The 15,767-nt window shown below is 40.0% G+C and overlaps 1 protein-coding gene across 2 annotated transcripts in view, besides 1 other annotated feature; it reads right to left on the reverse strand.

Moving 5' to 3' along the window:
* PDE11A (phosphodiesterase 11A) overlaps nt 1–15,767 on the reverse strand; it is a 485,096-nt gene that overhangs the window by 416,616 nt on the left and 52,713 nt on the right. The window lies entirely within an intron of this gene.
* Nucleotides 9,823–10,323: an enhancer, noted in NCBI's record as "H3K4me1 hESC enhancer chr2:178914409-178914909 (GRCh37/hg19 assembly coordinates)". NCBI's record gives its function as "activates a minimal SCP1, AML or CMV promoter by ChIP-STARR-seq in primed H9 embryonic stem cells {active_cell/tissue: H9 hESC(primed)}" and the evidence as "EXISTENCE:reporter gene assay evidence [ECO:0000049][PMID:30033119]".

Genomic DNA, 15,767 nt, shown 5'->3' on the forward strand with positions numbered 1-15,767 from the left:
AATGATTCCATTTATACAAAGTTCAAAAGCAGGCAAAATTAAATTGCATATTGTATAGGAAAACAAAGATAGGTGGCAAAGTCATGGGGAGGGAAACAAGGGGATATTTCACACAACACTCAGCATGACAATGAAGGTGGTGGTGACAAGAGGAAGGATAATATTATTGTGAAAGGGCACCAGAAGATTTCAATGTAGTGGCTTTTTTTTTTTTTTTTTTTTGAGACAGAGTTTCACTCTTGTTCCCCAGGCTGGAGTGCAACAGCGCAATCTCAGCTCACTGCAACCTCCACCTTCTGGATTCAAGCTATTCTTCTGCCTCAGCCTCCTGAGTAGCTGGGGTTACAGGAGTGCACTACTACACCTGGCTAATTTTTGCATTTTTAGTAGAGACAGGGTTTTACCATGTTGGTCTTGAACTCCTGACCTCAAGTGATCCACCCACCTCGGCTTCCCAAAGTGCTAGGATTACAGGTGTGAGCCATCGCACCCAGCTAGTGTTTTACATTTTAATCTGGTGTGAGTAGAAGGATGTCCAGTTTATTCTTCTTTATGCTGTACGTATATATTTTATTCTTCCATTTGAATATATGATGCATTTCACAATTTTTTAAAGGCAATGGACAATATAATGAAAATTGAAGAACTGAAGCTCTTGTCCTTTCCGATATGTTCAGCACACATATTGTTTTGAATGCGCAGAGTTCTTAGGGTTATGATTTAGCAACATGAGCAGTTAACAACCCAACCCTTGTTATGTTAATAGGAACACTGTGGCTAAACCACTAAACTAAAATTTCACTCCATAGACTTATTGATACTAAAATGGAATGTTTCTTCAGAGAACTACATACCTCAATTTGCTCACTTTTCTCTTCCTTTTACTATGCTTTGACATTACCATTTATTACAGATAATCTACTAAATAGAATTGCCTTCCTTCTTTACAGTTCTTTCTACATTGTTTTGTCCAGGTAATTTTTATGACTTTCATAATAGTGTCTGACATGCACGTAATTTAAAGTCAACAAATACAGAATGATAAAAATGAGCAGTCAGAAATTTTTATCTACTTATTTATTTATTTATTCATTTATTGAGACAGGGTCTCACTCTGTTGCCCATGCTAGAGTGCAGTGGCTCAATCATAGCTCACTGCAAAATTGATCTCCCAGGCTCAAGTGATCCTCTCTCCTCAGCCTCCCAAGTAGCTAGAACTACAGGCACAGCCACCATGCCCAGCTAATTTTTTTGAGTTTTAGTAGATACGAGGTCTCGCTATGCTGCCCAGGCTGGTCTCGAATTGCTGGGCTCAAGCAATGCTCCTGCCTCAGCCTCCCAAAGTGCTGGGATTACAGGTGTGAGCCTCCATGTCAAGCTCAGAAATTTTTTTTTTTTTTTTGAGACAGAGTCTTGCTCTGTCACCCAGGCTGGAGTGCAGTGGCACAGTCTCAGCTCACTGCAACCTCTGCCTCCCGGGTTCAAGCAATTCTTCTGCCTCAGCCTCCCGAGTAGCTGGGACTACAGGCATGCACCACCACGCCCGGCTAATTTTTGTATTTTTAGTAGAGATGGGGTTTAACCATAGTGGTCAGGCTGGTCTCGAACTCCTGACCTTCTGATCCGCCCGCCTCAGCCTCCAAGTGCTGGGATTATAGGTGTGAGCCATCGCACCCGGCCAGAAAATTCTTTTAAGAACCACGTGACTTCTGCAAATAAGGCATATTCAGTATTAACTTTTAACTAGATAAGACCTACAATGAGCTATTTTCACACACATATGTTTTTTTTCCAAAAATGGTAGAAGCTAATATTTATTTTAAGTCTGCATGGCAAGTTTTTCAGTTTTTCATAATACTTTGGATGACAGATGTCATTGCCAAGGCATCGAAAGCACTAAATTCCTCTTTGGAAGTGCTGTTTGTCCAGTTTCACATCTGCCCTGTATCCTTTACTCCTCGAAAAGACAATGTTTCAAGCATTATCCCCCTAGATGTTACAAACAGCTGAACCAGCCTGCAAATTAAAGGACTACCTTGAACATAAATTTCTGATAAGGCCCATATTAATCATATGCCCCAAAGTTTAGATGATCACACAAAAGTAATTTTCTCACAGAAAAGGTTTTTGCTTTCTTTTCAAAAAATTGTAAAGGCATGGTGTAAACATTACTATTCCTTTTCTCTGTTTCTAAATGGGTCTAGGTTCTTGTGTGAGGAAAGAGGACAATTAGTAAATGTAATTTTCTTATGCAGCCTCAGCTGGCTTCACATACCTCATAAATAGTTCTTATTCAAACATTCTAAAGATACCTACAATTAAATAAAATTCATCCTAAGGCTGGGTATGGTAGCTCATGCCTGTAAACCCAACACTTTGGAAGGCCAAAGTGGGAAGATCACTTGAGGCCAGGAGTTTGAAACCAGCCTTGTCAACACATTGAGACTCCGCCTCTACAAAAGAAAAAGATTAGCCAGGTGTGGTGGCACACATTTGTAGTCCCAGCTACTTAGGAAGCGGAGGCTGGAAGATGGCTTGAGTCCAGGAGTTTAAGGCTGCAGTGAGCCATGATCACATCACTGCTTTCTAGCCTTGGTGACAGAGCAAGACTCTGTCTCAAAAAAAAAAAAAAAGAAGAAAAAAGTCCATCCTAGTTATATATTTGATCTATTTCATGTTCTGAAAGATCTAACCTGGAACTTTCCCCTTACGTATACAACTTTAAAGAGTAAATGGCTATTCCAAGTCAATAAACTGGTGGCAAATTGAAAGATATTAATGTGTAGCTAATCTATTTTACATGATGGAGTTTCTAGTCTCCCCACAATGAGCCTCAGTATATGATTTTAAGTAACATTCAGAATACTAAACTTGATTTTAAAAACTTGCAAGCATTCAGGATATTCTGCCATGAAGCCTCTAAAATTATAACTATATTACACAGAAGTTAAAAACAAACAAACAAACAAAAACCCTACACTTAGGGGCAAGAGCGCTTAACCAAGGCATTGCTTATTGCTGCAAAGCTGCTCTGTATTAACCTCACATTAAATCATTAGAGAGAATGGTGGGAGGCGAGGGACAGCTGGCACCCTTGGACATGGGGGCTGAGGCATCCATGGCTGCTAAAGATTTTATAGATTTTTTTCCTTTTACAGGATAAAAATAAATCATTTGCCTTTAGTTATAGTTTCTAACTGATACTGTCACAAAGATAATTTCTGGTTGTGGTTTATGCAGTGCAGTCTTATATACTATTATATTATATCTGGCTGATATTAGGTACTGGGTGCCCATTTGTGAAATGGAACTTAAGGAACTGTACATTTTTAATAAGAATCAATGCTATTTCCCTAACAGACAGTATCTGTCATGGGCAGATGATTCACATTGATGGCTTATAAATAGCATGAATTCCCCAGGAAATTTCTCCACTGGGTCCTCCTTTCACACTAAATTCAAGATATTAGTCAAATCCTGCTAAGGTACACAGATTTGACTATCCAGAAAAGACAGATCAAGGTTCTTCAGACATCAAAACTTGCTTTGAAGAGAGAAAGACAACATAATCTGGTTTTGCAGTGGCAGATGGCTCATAACTTTGGCTTTGAATCTTGATCTTCTAAGCCAGTAGACAAGCGGAGACATAAGAGTCATACCAATTACTCCAGCACCACATATGGTGAGCTAGCCTTTAAAACAGGCACTAAATGAGACTTGTGATCAGTTTAAACTGCAAAGAAATTGAGGCAATTATAAGACTTATTGATTCCTCAGATAATAGCAATGATGGCTATCATTTACCAGGAGCCTACCATATAACCTGTGCATTTATGTATGCAAAAATCTGTGCCAGAGTTTTGCACACATGGAATAATCACAACAACCATGCAAAGTGGATACTATTCGCCCCATTATACATATGAGGAAACTGAAGCTAAGAGAAGATCAGTAACTTATCTCATGTTAAGTAATTTACCAATAACTGAGCCAGGATGCTAACTAAGAGATGCTTGAGTCTAAAGCTTGGGCTCTTTTCACCATATTATGTTACTTTGAAGAGTTAGCAATTTGTCCTCAAGGCCTCTGTCCATGCTGGTGTTTAATACAGCTCAAAAATCATAAAGAAACTTGTCAGTGGTACAAACAGTAGTTTATGTTCAGCCTAATGTACTAGGACAGAGTGAGAAGTTAATACTGCTTGCCATTCTTCTTGTGACCAGTTCAACACCAGGTCTTTTTATTTTTTCCAGTCTATGATTAAATATATTAGCAAAGATTGACTTCTGCAGAAGGAAAACATAGAAGAAATAAAATATCTCCCCAAAAGCTTGAAGCTCTTGCTTCATGAAGAGTAGGAACATCATGAATTGCAAATGTCTTTCAAATATTTTTTCCAGTAATAGGCCATTTCATAAAAATAATGCAATGACCAAAGAAGTGAAGAATCCTGATTTTACCATATTTTCCAAAAACAGAAAGTGTATATAGATATATAAACTTTATATATATGTTTTTATATATATAAACTTTATATGTTTATATATATATAAACTTTATATATATGTTTATATACATAAACATATATATGTATGTATACATCAGTAAAATGTATGATTTTCTGATATAAACCCTTGTTTATAATATAAACAATATAAAACTCTTGTTTCTGATATAAACCTCTCATGATCATGGTCACATAAGAAGTTCTTGGGAGGTATAACAAGCACTGCATATGATGCCACAAGTCCTGAATCCCCTGCCCAGCCCCCAAACTGAGCCATTTAACTTCCCTCAGACTGTTTCTTTACCCTCCAAATGAGGATAGTAATTCTTACCTTTCAGACAGCAAGGATTAATTAGGTAGTATGTGGTGAAGCATTTTATAAATCATAAAGTGCTACACAAGTATATCACCACATTCAGAATACAGAACAGGAATCAGACTAGAAACATTAGAAACTCTCCATTTCCCAAATTCTGTCCCTAGATGTTTTTTTGGGGGATGTTATACCCCACTCCACTTATTATTTTTGATTGCTTCAGTAGGTATCTAGCTCCAGCAATCAAACCAATCCATGACTAAGGCAACAAATGCCCCCAAAGGACATTCCCTGCAGCCAAACAGCAAAAAGCTATTGGATCAATAGATCACCGGTATGGCTGTAGCTTCAGTGCCCTACCTACAGGTCACCTAGAGTTTACAAAAAGTTTCACAATAAAGAGAAATGTGCAGTTTTTTTCTAGAATAAGTTGCTTGCTTGTATACACTAGAGCTTCAGGTTTTTTCTCAGAGACAAATTGTACATCTCTTTGTTTTATGATGGATATATGCAAGTATAAGACCTGCATAGAGCAACTCAAACTCTGCCTTGAAAACTCTCTAAAATGTTGTAGGAAATCTGTTAACTATATCCTCCAGTTAATTCCTAGTAATATAAACAGATTCCTTCCCTGCAGGTTTTGGTACTGATTAGTTGTGATGAAAAATGAAAGTTTTTCATATTTAATGAAACTATCCATTTTGCACACTCACAACATAGCTCCCAGAAATATTGTTTAGTCCTTGGCAACACTGTCTCACAACTTTGGTAAAGAGCATTGTGAAAAGATGTTGTTGAACAGACTGCCACTCATTGTTTACATACCACACCAGAGACAGCAGTTTGTGGTGGTTAAGAGTACAAACTGTGGCTCCAACAATATGGGTTCAAACCCTGGCTCTCCAACTTAATAGCTGTGTGACCTTGGGGAAATTAAGAAAGCTTCTAATAAGTGTTAACTATCACTACTGTCAGTAGTAGTAGTAGTAGTATCGCCTTCACAGGCATTAATGGATTATATTGCAAACCATGAAGTTTCCTGAGGCATCTTGTTCCAAACTCTCCAAACCTGACACAATTGTTGGGATCTTCGCACAAAAATAATCAGTTACCTGGTGTCAATGGATGTGAATGGCTAAAACAGCTTCTGGAATGCATTCTAGCAGATTTTTGAACTTCATATTCCATCAAGGAGCCGCCTTCTTTCATGGACAGGAATCCAGCCTTGAACATGTGAACAGAACCTGAATGTAATCCTTAATATTTCCCATAATGGTAAAACTGTAGAATCTAAACAGAGATGGATAATTTGAGTTTGCATCTGGTCTCTGCCTCTTACTAGCTGTATAAACTTGGGAAAGTTACTAAACCTATTCAAGTCTAGCTTCCTCACATGTAAAATGTAGGAAGTAACGGTGTCTATCTCATAGAACCTTGTGAGGATTAAATGAGATAACTAAATCTTACCACAGTGCCTACTGCATAACATATTCCCAATAAATACTGGCTATTACTATTAATTTTTTTGGGGGGGTTGGTTGGTACAGTTGATATGAGCTCTTCACCTGTGTGTTAATTGAAAAATGAATTTTTTGCAGCTGATCCTTTGAGGACTATAAAATGTATGGATGAAGTCTTATCAGCAGAAGTCTTATGTTATTATAATGTTGAATTCAGTTCACTTTTTGGAAGATTTTATAATAAATCTTACAGTGTGAAACAATCATGGAGTAGATTGTCTAAGAAATTATAGAAAGATAACATTGAGAAAGTAGTTGATCTCTGTATTGTAACCATCAATGTCTCCTTTCTACTTAGGTTTCTTGTTTGTTCGTTTGTTTGTTTGTTTGTTTTTATAATTGAAGAATTGGAGTCAGAACTTCAGAATAATAGTCATTGAGTCAGAAGGTGAGATGATAGATAGAAGGTCAAGGAAGGCTGTTGATTGCCCCTTTCAAGTCAGGCAGGGCTGACTTAAACATGGTTGGCTTTTGGCAAAGCTGAGGTAGTCAGTTCATCTTGAGTTCCCTTGTAGATTCTCTTTACTCTTCTCGGTCAATGTAACTATCCTGGGTCCAATTATTGCTCATATCAAGTGGTAAATTTATTTCTGTTAGTGTTAATCACTAATTAACTTGTTCACTGCTCATGGGTCCTCAGAGATGTCTGGAGACTCTTACAGTTGGAAAAGCCAGGAATCTTGAGGTGCATAGAACTATAAAAGAATTATAGGTTGTGAAGTTGTTAGTTTGAGGCATATATCTTTTGTCCACTATTCCTATGTCTAGGGCCTATCTCATTCCTGTAGACTTATTATGTGTTCTTAGATGAATAATTATGCAGAAAAACTTTCTGGGATTTTTTTTTTTTTTACTTGGAGACAAAAGGACTCAGATCCTATGACATGATAGTTGTCTATATCCTTTATTGCAGTTGATGGGAAGACTCAGAAACAAACTTGGACCCAGATAATTTCCTTCTTCTAGATATCACCCAAGGCCGGGCATGGTGGCTCATGCCTGTAATCCCAACACTTTGGGAGGCCAAGGCGGATGGATCACTTGAGGTTAGGAGTTCAAGACCAGCCTGGCCAACACAGTGAAACCCCGTCTTTACTAAAAATTCAAAAAATTAGCCAGGTCTGGTGGCACATACCTGTAATCCCAGTTACTTGGGAGGCTAAGGCAGGAGAATAGCTTGAACCCAGGAGGCGGAGGTTGCAGTGAGCCAAGATCATGCCACTGCACTACAGCCTGGGCCACAGAGCAAGAGTCTGTCTCAAAAAAAAAAAAAAAAATCACCCAGTGGCAGTATCAAAGAATGGCTTTTCCCCAGCTATCCTAAAGATATATAAAACAACATGCTGTTACACAAATAGAGCTTTGTTACAAGTCACCTCATCAGTACTTTCAGTCAGATGACAGCCCAGAGCCCCTCTGGTAACATGATAGAGCAGCCACGAGTCACACTATGAGCAGATCAGACATGAGCCTCATTCAACACCAAGAATAACCTGCTACAAAGCTAGTAGCTTAAAATTTTGGGGAAGGATTATTTTGTAAGGTTTCTCCTCTGTGTTTTCATAATTAACATGGAATTTTAGAGCTGAGAGAGTCTCAGAAGTCATTTTCCTAACCCCCCCATGTTATATATGGAGATTCTGAGGGCCAGAGAGAGAGGTCATCTGCCTGCATTCCCATAGATGATGAGTGCAGGGAAGCCCAGATTTATGCCCCTTCTTGCTCCCAGGCCTTCCATGGCTCACTGTCTTCAACTGAAGGTGACTAAGATAACAAGGCCCTCGAATAATCTGGCTCTACCATCCTATCCACTGCCTACCCAGGATGAACTCCTTTTGCTCATGAACATTCTACGTGAGAAATGGTTACAGACAGAAGTAGATAGAGCAGCTGGGAAGCAGTTTCAATAATCTGGGTGAAAGATAATGGTGACTTGAATCAGAGTTGTGGTAGTAGAGTTGCAGAAAAGTGAACAGATTGGAGATTGTTTTATGGAGTGAATCAGAAGAACCTTCTAACGGATCTAATATGTAGGTGAATAAAAGGAAGGAATCAAAGGTAACACCTAGGGTTCTGGCTTGGGCAACTGAAGATAAAGAAGATAAGGCAGAGGCAAGAGAGTATTGGGATGGGGGGCTGGGGGCGCGGCATGAAAGAAAGAGTTCTCTCAATGTTCCGTGTATAACAATCTGAGAGGTGGCATGGCATATGTCAGAGGAGGAACAATATTTCCCCCTTTTCTGTTTTCCATGAGGAGAGACTTCCCTTAACCCGTCCACCCTTTGGATCCATTCCTTGGTCCTCCTCAGAAAGGTAGGGTGAGTTATCTGATGAGGGAATTAGGGAGACTAACAGGGCATGCACAACCTAGCTCCTTCCTCCCTTTAATCCTTGGGAGTCAGGCCACCCCCAAAGAGCAGTCCTTCAGTTCCTCGATGCTGTAATTTCCAAAGGGACAGGCCCCTTGCATGGGGAGGACTATGGGCATCCAGCATTTTCTGTGCTTGGGAGGGTAGGTTTATCTAATTCTGGTGCTGAGAATTATACACGCCTATAAATATAAGCCCATATTCCAGTATCTGTTTCATAAGCCATAAATGTGATATTTTGATATCCCATATGCATTTCTTTTTTGTCTTTTTTCTCATCTGAATTGGTTCAGGGTAGGGAAGAAAGAAGGTAGGTATTGGGTCCTCTCAAAACTCAAGAGTGGGAGGAACAGTGGGAGAGGAACACAGAGTCCTTCCTCTAACACTGTGGCCCTGTGACCTCAGGAAGAGGACCTAACTTCTCAGTGCTTGTTTCCTAATCTATGAAAGGAAAGGGATAGCATCTACTCTACATTTCTCAAAAGGTTATTATGAAGATCTTAATAACAAATATTTGAATATTTAAATGTTCAACATTTGAATATTTGAATAACCAATATTTGAATGTAACCTTAATATTCCAATATTTGAATATGACTTTGAGCCGGGCACTTAAAGTGCCAGTGGCATATGTTAAGAGTTGTGGTAGTAGAGTTGGAGAAAAGTGAACAGATTTGAGATGGTTTTACAAGTAACTCAAAAGAACTTTCTGATGGACCTAATATGGTAGGTGAATAAAAGAAAGTAATCAAAGATAAGACCTAGGTTTTTGTCTTTAAACTGCCAGGCTTGGGGGGGAAGTTCCAAGGTGGCCAAATAGGAACAGCTCCAGTCTGCAGCTCCCAGCATGAGTGACGCAGAGGACAGGTGATTTCTGCATTTCCAACTGAGGTACCGGGTTCATCTCACTGGGGCTTGTCTGACAGTGGGTGCAGGACAGTGGGTGCAGCCCATGGAGCATGAGCCGAAGCAGGGCAAGGCATCGCCTCACCTGGGAAGTGCAAGGGGTTGGGGAATTCCCTTTTCTAGCCCAGGGAAGCTGTGACAGATGGCACCTGGAAAATCTGGTCACTCCCACCCTAATACTGTGCTTTTCCAACAGTCTTAGCAAACGGCACACCAGGAGATTACATCCCATGCCTGGCTTGGAGGGTCCCACACCCACGGAGTCTTGCTCACTGCTATCACAGCAGTCTGAGATCGAACTGCAAGGCAGCAGCGAGGCTTGGGGAGTGGTGCCCGCCATTGCTGAGGCTTGAGTAGGTAAACAAAGCGGCCAGGAAGCTCAAACTGGGTAGAGCCCACCGCAGCTCAAGGAAGCCTGCCTGCCTCTGTAGATTCCACCTCTGGTGCAGGGTATAGCTGAACAAAAGGCAGCAGAAGCTTCTGCAGACTTAAACATCCCTGTCTGACAGCTTTGAAGAGAGTAGTGGTTCTCCCAGCACGGAGTTTGAGATCTGGGAACGGACAGACTGCCTCCTAAAGTGGCTTCCTGACCCCCGAGTAGCCTAACTGGGAGGCGCCTCCCAGTAGGGGCAGACTGACACCTCATACGGCCAGGTGCCCCTCTGAGATGAAGCTTCCGGAAGAACGATCAGGCAGCAACATTTGCCGTTCTGCAATATTTGCGGTTCTGCAGCCTCTGCTGGTGATACCCAGGCAAACAGGGTCTGGGGTGGACCTCCAGCAAACTCCAACAGACCTGCAGCAGAGGGTCCTGACTGTTAGAAGGAAAACTAACAAACAGAAAGGACATCCACACCAAAACCCCATATGTACATCACCATCATCAAAGACTAAAGGTAGACAAAACCACAAAGACGGGGAGAAACCAGAGCAGAAAAGCTGAAAATTCTAAAAATCAGAGTGCCTCTTCTCCTCTAACGGAACGCAGCTCCTCACCAGCAATGGAACAAAGCTGGACAGAAAATGACTTTGACGAGTTGAGAGAAGAAGGCTTCAGAAGATCGGTAATAACAAACTTCTCTGAGCTAAAGGAGGGTGTTCGAACCCCTGCAAAGAAGCTAAAAACCTTGAAAAAAGATTGGAAGAATGGCTAAATAGAATAAACAGTGTAGAGAAGACCTTAAATGACCTGATGGAGCTGAAAACCATGGCACGAGAACTACGTGACGCATGCACAAGATTCAGTAGCCGATTCGATCAACTGGAAGAAAGGGTATCAGTGATTGAAGATCAAATGAATGAAATGAAGTGAGAAGAGAAGCTTAGAGAAAAAAGAGTAAAAAGAAATGAACAAAGCCTCCAAGAAATATGGGACTATGTGAAAAGACCAAATCTACGTCTGATTGGTATACCTGAAAGTGACGGGGAGAATGGAACCAAGTTGGAAAACAATCTTTAGGATATTATGCAGGAGAACTTCCCCAACCTAGCAAGGCAGACCAACATTCAAATTCAGGAAACAGAGAGAACGCCACAAAGATACTCCTTGAGAAGAGCAACTCCAAGACACATAATTAACAGATTCACCAAAGTTGAAATGAAGAAAAAATGCTAAGGGCAGCCAGAGAGAAAGGTCATGTTACCCACAAAGGGAAGCCCATCAGACTAACAGTGGATCTCTCAGCAGAAACTCTGCAAGCCAGAAGAGAGTGGGGGCCAATATTCAACATTCTTAAAGAAAAGAATTTTCAACCCAGAATTTCATATCCAGCCAAACTAAGCTTCATAAGTGAAGGAGAAATAAAATCCTTTACAGACAAGCAAATGCTGAGAGATTTTGTCAACACCAGGCCTGCCTTACAAGAGCTCCTGAAGGAAGCACTAAATATGGAAAGGAACAACTGGTACCAGCCACTGCAAAAATATGCCAAATTATAAAGACCATCGATGCTAGGAAGAAACTGCATCAACTAACGGGCAAAATAACCAGCTAACATCATAATGACAGGATCAAATTCACACATAACAATATTAACCTTAAATGTAAATGGGCTAAATGCTCCAATTAAAAGACACAGACTGGCAAATTGGATAAAGAGTCAAGACCCATCAGTGTGCTATATTCAGGAGACCTATCTCATGTGCAGAGACACACATAGGCTCAAAATAAAGGGATGCAGGAAGATCTACCAAGCAAATGGAAAACAACGACAAAAAAAAGCAGGGGTTGCAATCCTAGTCTCTGATAAAACAGACTTTAAACCAACAAAGATCAGAAGAGACAAAGAAGGCCATTACATAATGGTAAAGGGATCAATTCAACAAGAAGAGCTAACTATCCTAAATATATATGCACCCAATACAGGAGAACCCAGATTCATAAAGCAAGTCCTTAGAGACCTACAAAGAGACTTAGATTCCCACACAATAATAATGGGAGACTTTAACACCCCACTGTCAACATTAGACAGATCAACGAGACAGAAAGTTAACAAGGATACCCAGGAATTGAACTCAGCTCTGCACCAAGCAGACCTAATAGACATCTACAGAACTCTCCACCGCAAATCAACAGAATATACATTCTTTTCAGCACCACACCACACCTATTCCAAAATTGACCACATAGTTGGAAGTACAGCACTCCTCAGCAAATGTAAAAGAACAGAAATTATAACAAACTGTCTCTCAGACCACAGTGCAATCAAATTAGAACTCAGGATTAAGAAACTCACTCAAAACTGCTCAACTACATGGAAACTGAACAACCTGCTCCTGAATGACTACTGGGTACATAACGAAATGAAGGCAGAAATAAAGACATTATTTGAAACCAGTGAGAACAAAGACACAACATACCAGAATCTCTGGGACACATTTAAAGCAGTGTGTAGAGGGAAATTTATAGCACTAAATGCCCATAGGAGAAAGCAGGAAAGATCTAAAATTGACCCCCTAACATCACAATTAAAAGAACTAGAGAAGCAAGAGCAAACACATTCAAAAGCTAGCAGAAGGCAAGAAATAACTAAGATCAGAGCAGAACTGAAGGAGATAGAGACACAAAAAACCCTTCAAAAAATCAATGAATCCAGGAGCTGGTTTTTTGAAAAGATCAACAAAATTGATAGACTGCTAGCAAGACTAATAAAGAAGAAAAGAAAGAAGAATCAAATAGATGCAATAAAAAATGATAAAGGGGATATCACCACCAATCCCACAGAAATACAAACTACCATCAGAGAATACTATAAACACCTCTATGCAAATAAACTAGAAAATCTAGAAGAAATGGATAAATTCCTGGACACATAAACCCTCCCAAGACTAAACCAGGAAGAAGCTGAATCCCTGAATAGACCAATAACAAGCTCTGAAACTGAGGCAATAATTAAGAGCCTACCAACAAAAAAAAGTCCAGGACCAGACGGATTCACAGCCAAATTCTACCAGAGGTACAAAGAGGAGCTGGTACCATTCCTTCTGAAACTATTCCAATCAATAGAAAAAGAGGGAATCCTCCCTAACTCATTTTATGAGGCCAGCATCTTCCTGACACCAAAGCCTGGCAGAGACACAACAAAAAAAGAGAATTTTAGACCAATATCCCTGGTGAACATCGATGTAAAAATCCTCAATAAAATACTGGCAAACTGAATCCAGCAGCACATCAGAAAGCTTATCCACCATGATCAAGTGGGCTTCATCCCTGGGATGCAAGGCTGGTTCAACATACACAAATCAATAAACATAATCCATCATATAAACAGAACCAATGACAAAAACCACATGATTATCTCAATAGATGCAGAAAAGGCCTTCGAAAAATTCAACAGCCCTTCGTGCTAAAACCTCTCAATAAATAAGGTATTGATGGGATGTATCTCAAAATAATAAGAGCTATTTATGACAGACCCACAGCCAATATCATACTGAATGGGCAAAAACTGGAAGCATTCCCTTTGAAAACTGGCAGAAGACAGGGATGCCCTCTCTCACCACTCCTATTCAACATAGTGTTGGAAGTTCTGGCCAGGGCAATCAGGCAGGAGAAAGAAATAAAGGGTATTCAATTAGGAAAAGAGGAAGTCAAATTGTCCCTGTTTGCAGATGAAATGATTGTATATTTAGAAAACCCCATCATCTCAGCCCAAAATCTCCTTAAGCTGATAAGCAACTTCAGCAGTCTCAGGATACAACATCAATGTTCAAAAATCACAAGCATTCCTATATACCAACAATAGATGAGCAGAGAGCCACATCATGAGTGAACTCCCATTCACGATTGCTATAAAGAGAATAAAATACCTAGGAATACAACTTACAAGGGACGTGAAGGACTTCCTCAAGGAGAACTACAAACCACTGCTCAGGAAAGAAGAGAGGACACAAACAAGTGGAAAAAAATTCCATGCTCATGGATAGGGAGAATCAGATCACGAAAATGGCCATACTGCCCAAAGTAATGTATAGAGTCAATGCCATCCCCATCAAGCTACCAATGACTTTCTTCACAGAATTGGAAAAAACTACTTTAAAGTTCATATGGAACCAAAAAAGAGCCCGCATCGCCAAGTCAATCCTAAGCCAAAAGAACAAAGCTGGAGGCGTCGCGCTACTGTACTACAAGGCTACAGGAACCAAAACAGCATGGTACTGGTACCAAAACAGAGATATAGACCAATGGAACAGAACAGAGCCCTCAGAATAATACCACACATCTACAACCATCTGATCTTTGACAAGCCTGACAAAAACAAGAAATGGGGAAAGGATTCCCTATTTAGCAAATGGTGCTGGGAAAACTGGCTAGCCATATGTAGAAAGCTGAAATTGGATCCCTTCCTTACACCTTACACAAAAATTAATTCCAGATAGAGTAAAGACTTAAATGTTTGACCTAAAACCATAAAAACCCTAGAAGAAAACCTAGGCAATACCATTCAGGACATAGGCATGGGCAAGGACTTCATGTCTAAAATACCAAAAGCAATGGTAACAAAAGCCAAAATTGACAGATAGGATCTAATTAAACTAAAGAGCTTCTGCACAGCAAAAGAAACCACCATCAGAGTGAACAGGCAACCTAAAGAATGGGAGAAAATTTTTACAATCTACCCATCTGATAAAGGGCTAATATCCAGAATCTACAAAGAACTTAAACAAATTTATAAGAAAAATCAAACAACCTCATAAAAAACTGGGCAAAGGATATGAACAGACACTTCTCCAAAGAAGACATTTATGCAGCCAAAAGACACATGAAAAAATGCTCATCATCACTGGTCATCAGAGAAATGCAAATCAAAACCACAATGAGATACCATCTCACACCAGTTAGAATGGACATCATTAAAAAGTCAGGAAACAACAGGTGCTGGAGAGGATGTGGAGAAATAGGAACATTTTTACACTGTTGGTGGGACTGTAAACTAGTTCAACCATTGTGGAAGACAGTGTGGCGATTCTTCAAGGATCTAGAACTAGAAATACCATTTGACCCAACATCCCATTACTGAGTATATACCCAAAGGATTATAAATCATGCTGCTATAAAGACACATGCACATGTATGTTTATTTTGGCACTATTCACAATAGCAAAGACTTGGAACCAACCCAAATGTCCATCAATGATAGACTGGATTAAGAAAATGTGGCACATATACACCATGGAATACTATGCAGCCATAAAAAAGGATGAGTTCATGTCCTTTGTAGGGACATGGATGAAGCTGGAAACCATCATTGTGAGCAAACTATCGCAAGGACAGAAAACCAAACATTGCATGTTCTCACTTATAGGTGGGAACTGAACAATGAGAACACTTGGACACAGGGTGGGGAACATCACACACCAGGGCCTGTCATGGGGTGGGGGGGAGGGAGGAGGGATAGCATTAGGAGATATACCTAATGTAAATGACGAATTAACGGGTGCAGCACACCAACGTGGCACATGTGTACATATGTAACAAACCTGCACGTTGTGCACATGTACCCTAGAACTTAAAGTATAATAAAAAAATAAAAATAAAAAAATAAAGTGCCAGGCTCAAAGTCATATTCAAATATTGGAAACATCACTTGTAGTTCCAAATGCATTCACTAAGGAATTTATAGATGGAATTTCTACAAAGAGAAAATTAA

The sequence above is a fragment of the Homo sapiens genome, chromosome 2 (genome assembly GCF_000001405.40).
Source record: "Homo sapiens chromosome 2, GRCh38.p14 Primary Assembly".
In the NCBI taxonomy this organism is placed as follows: domain Eukaryota; kingdom Metazoa; phylum Chordata; class Mammalia; order Primates; family Hominidae; genus Homo; species Homo sapiens.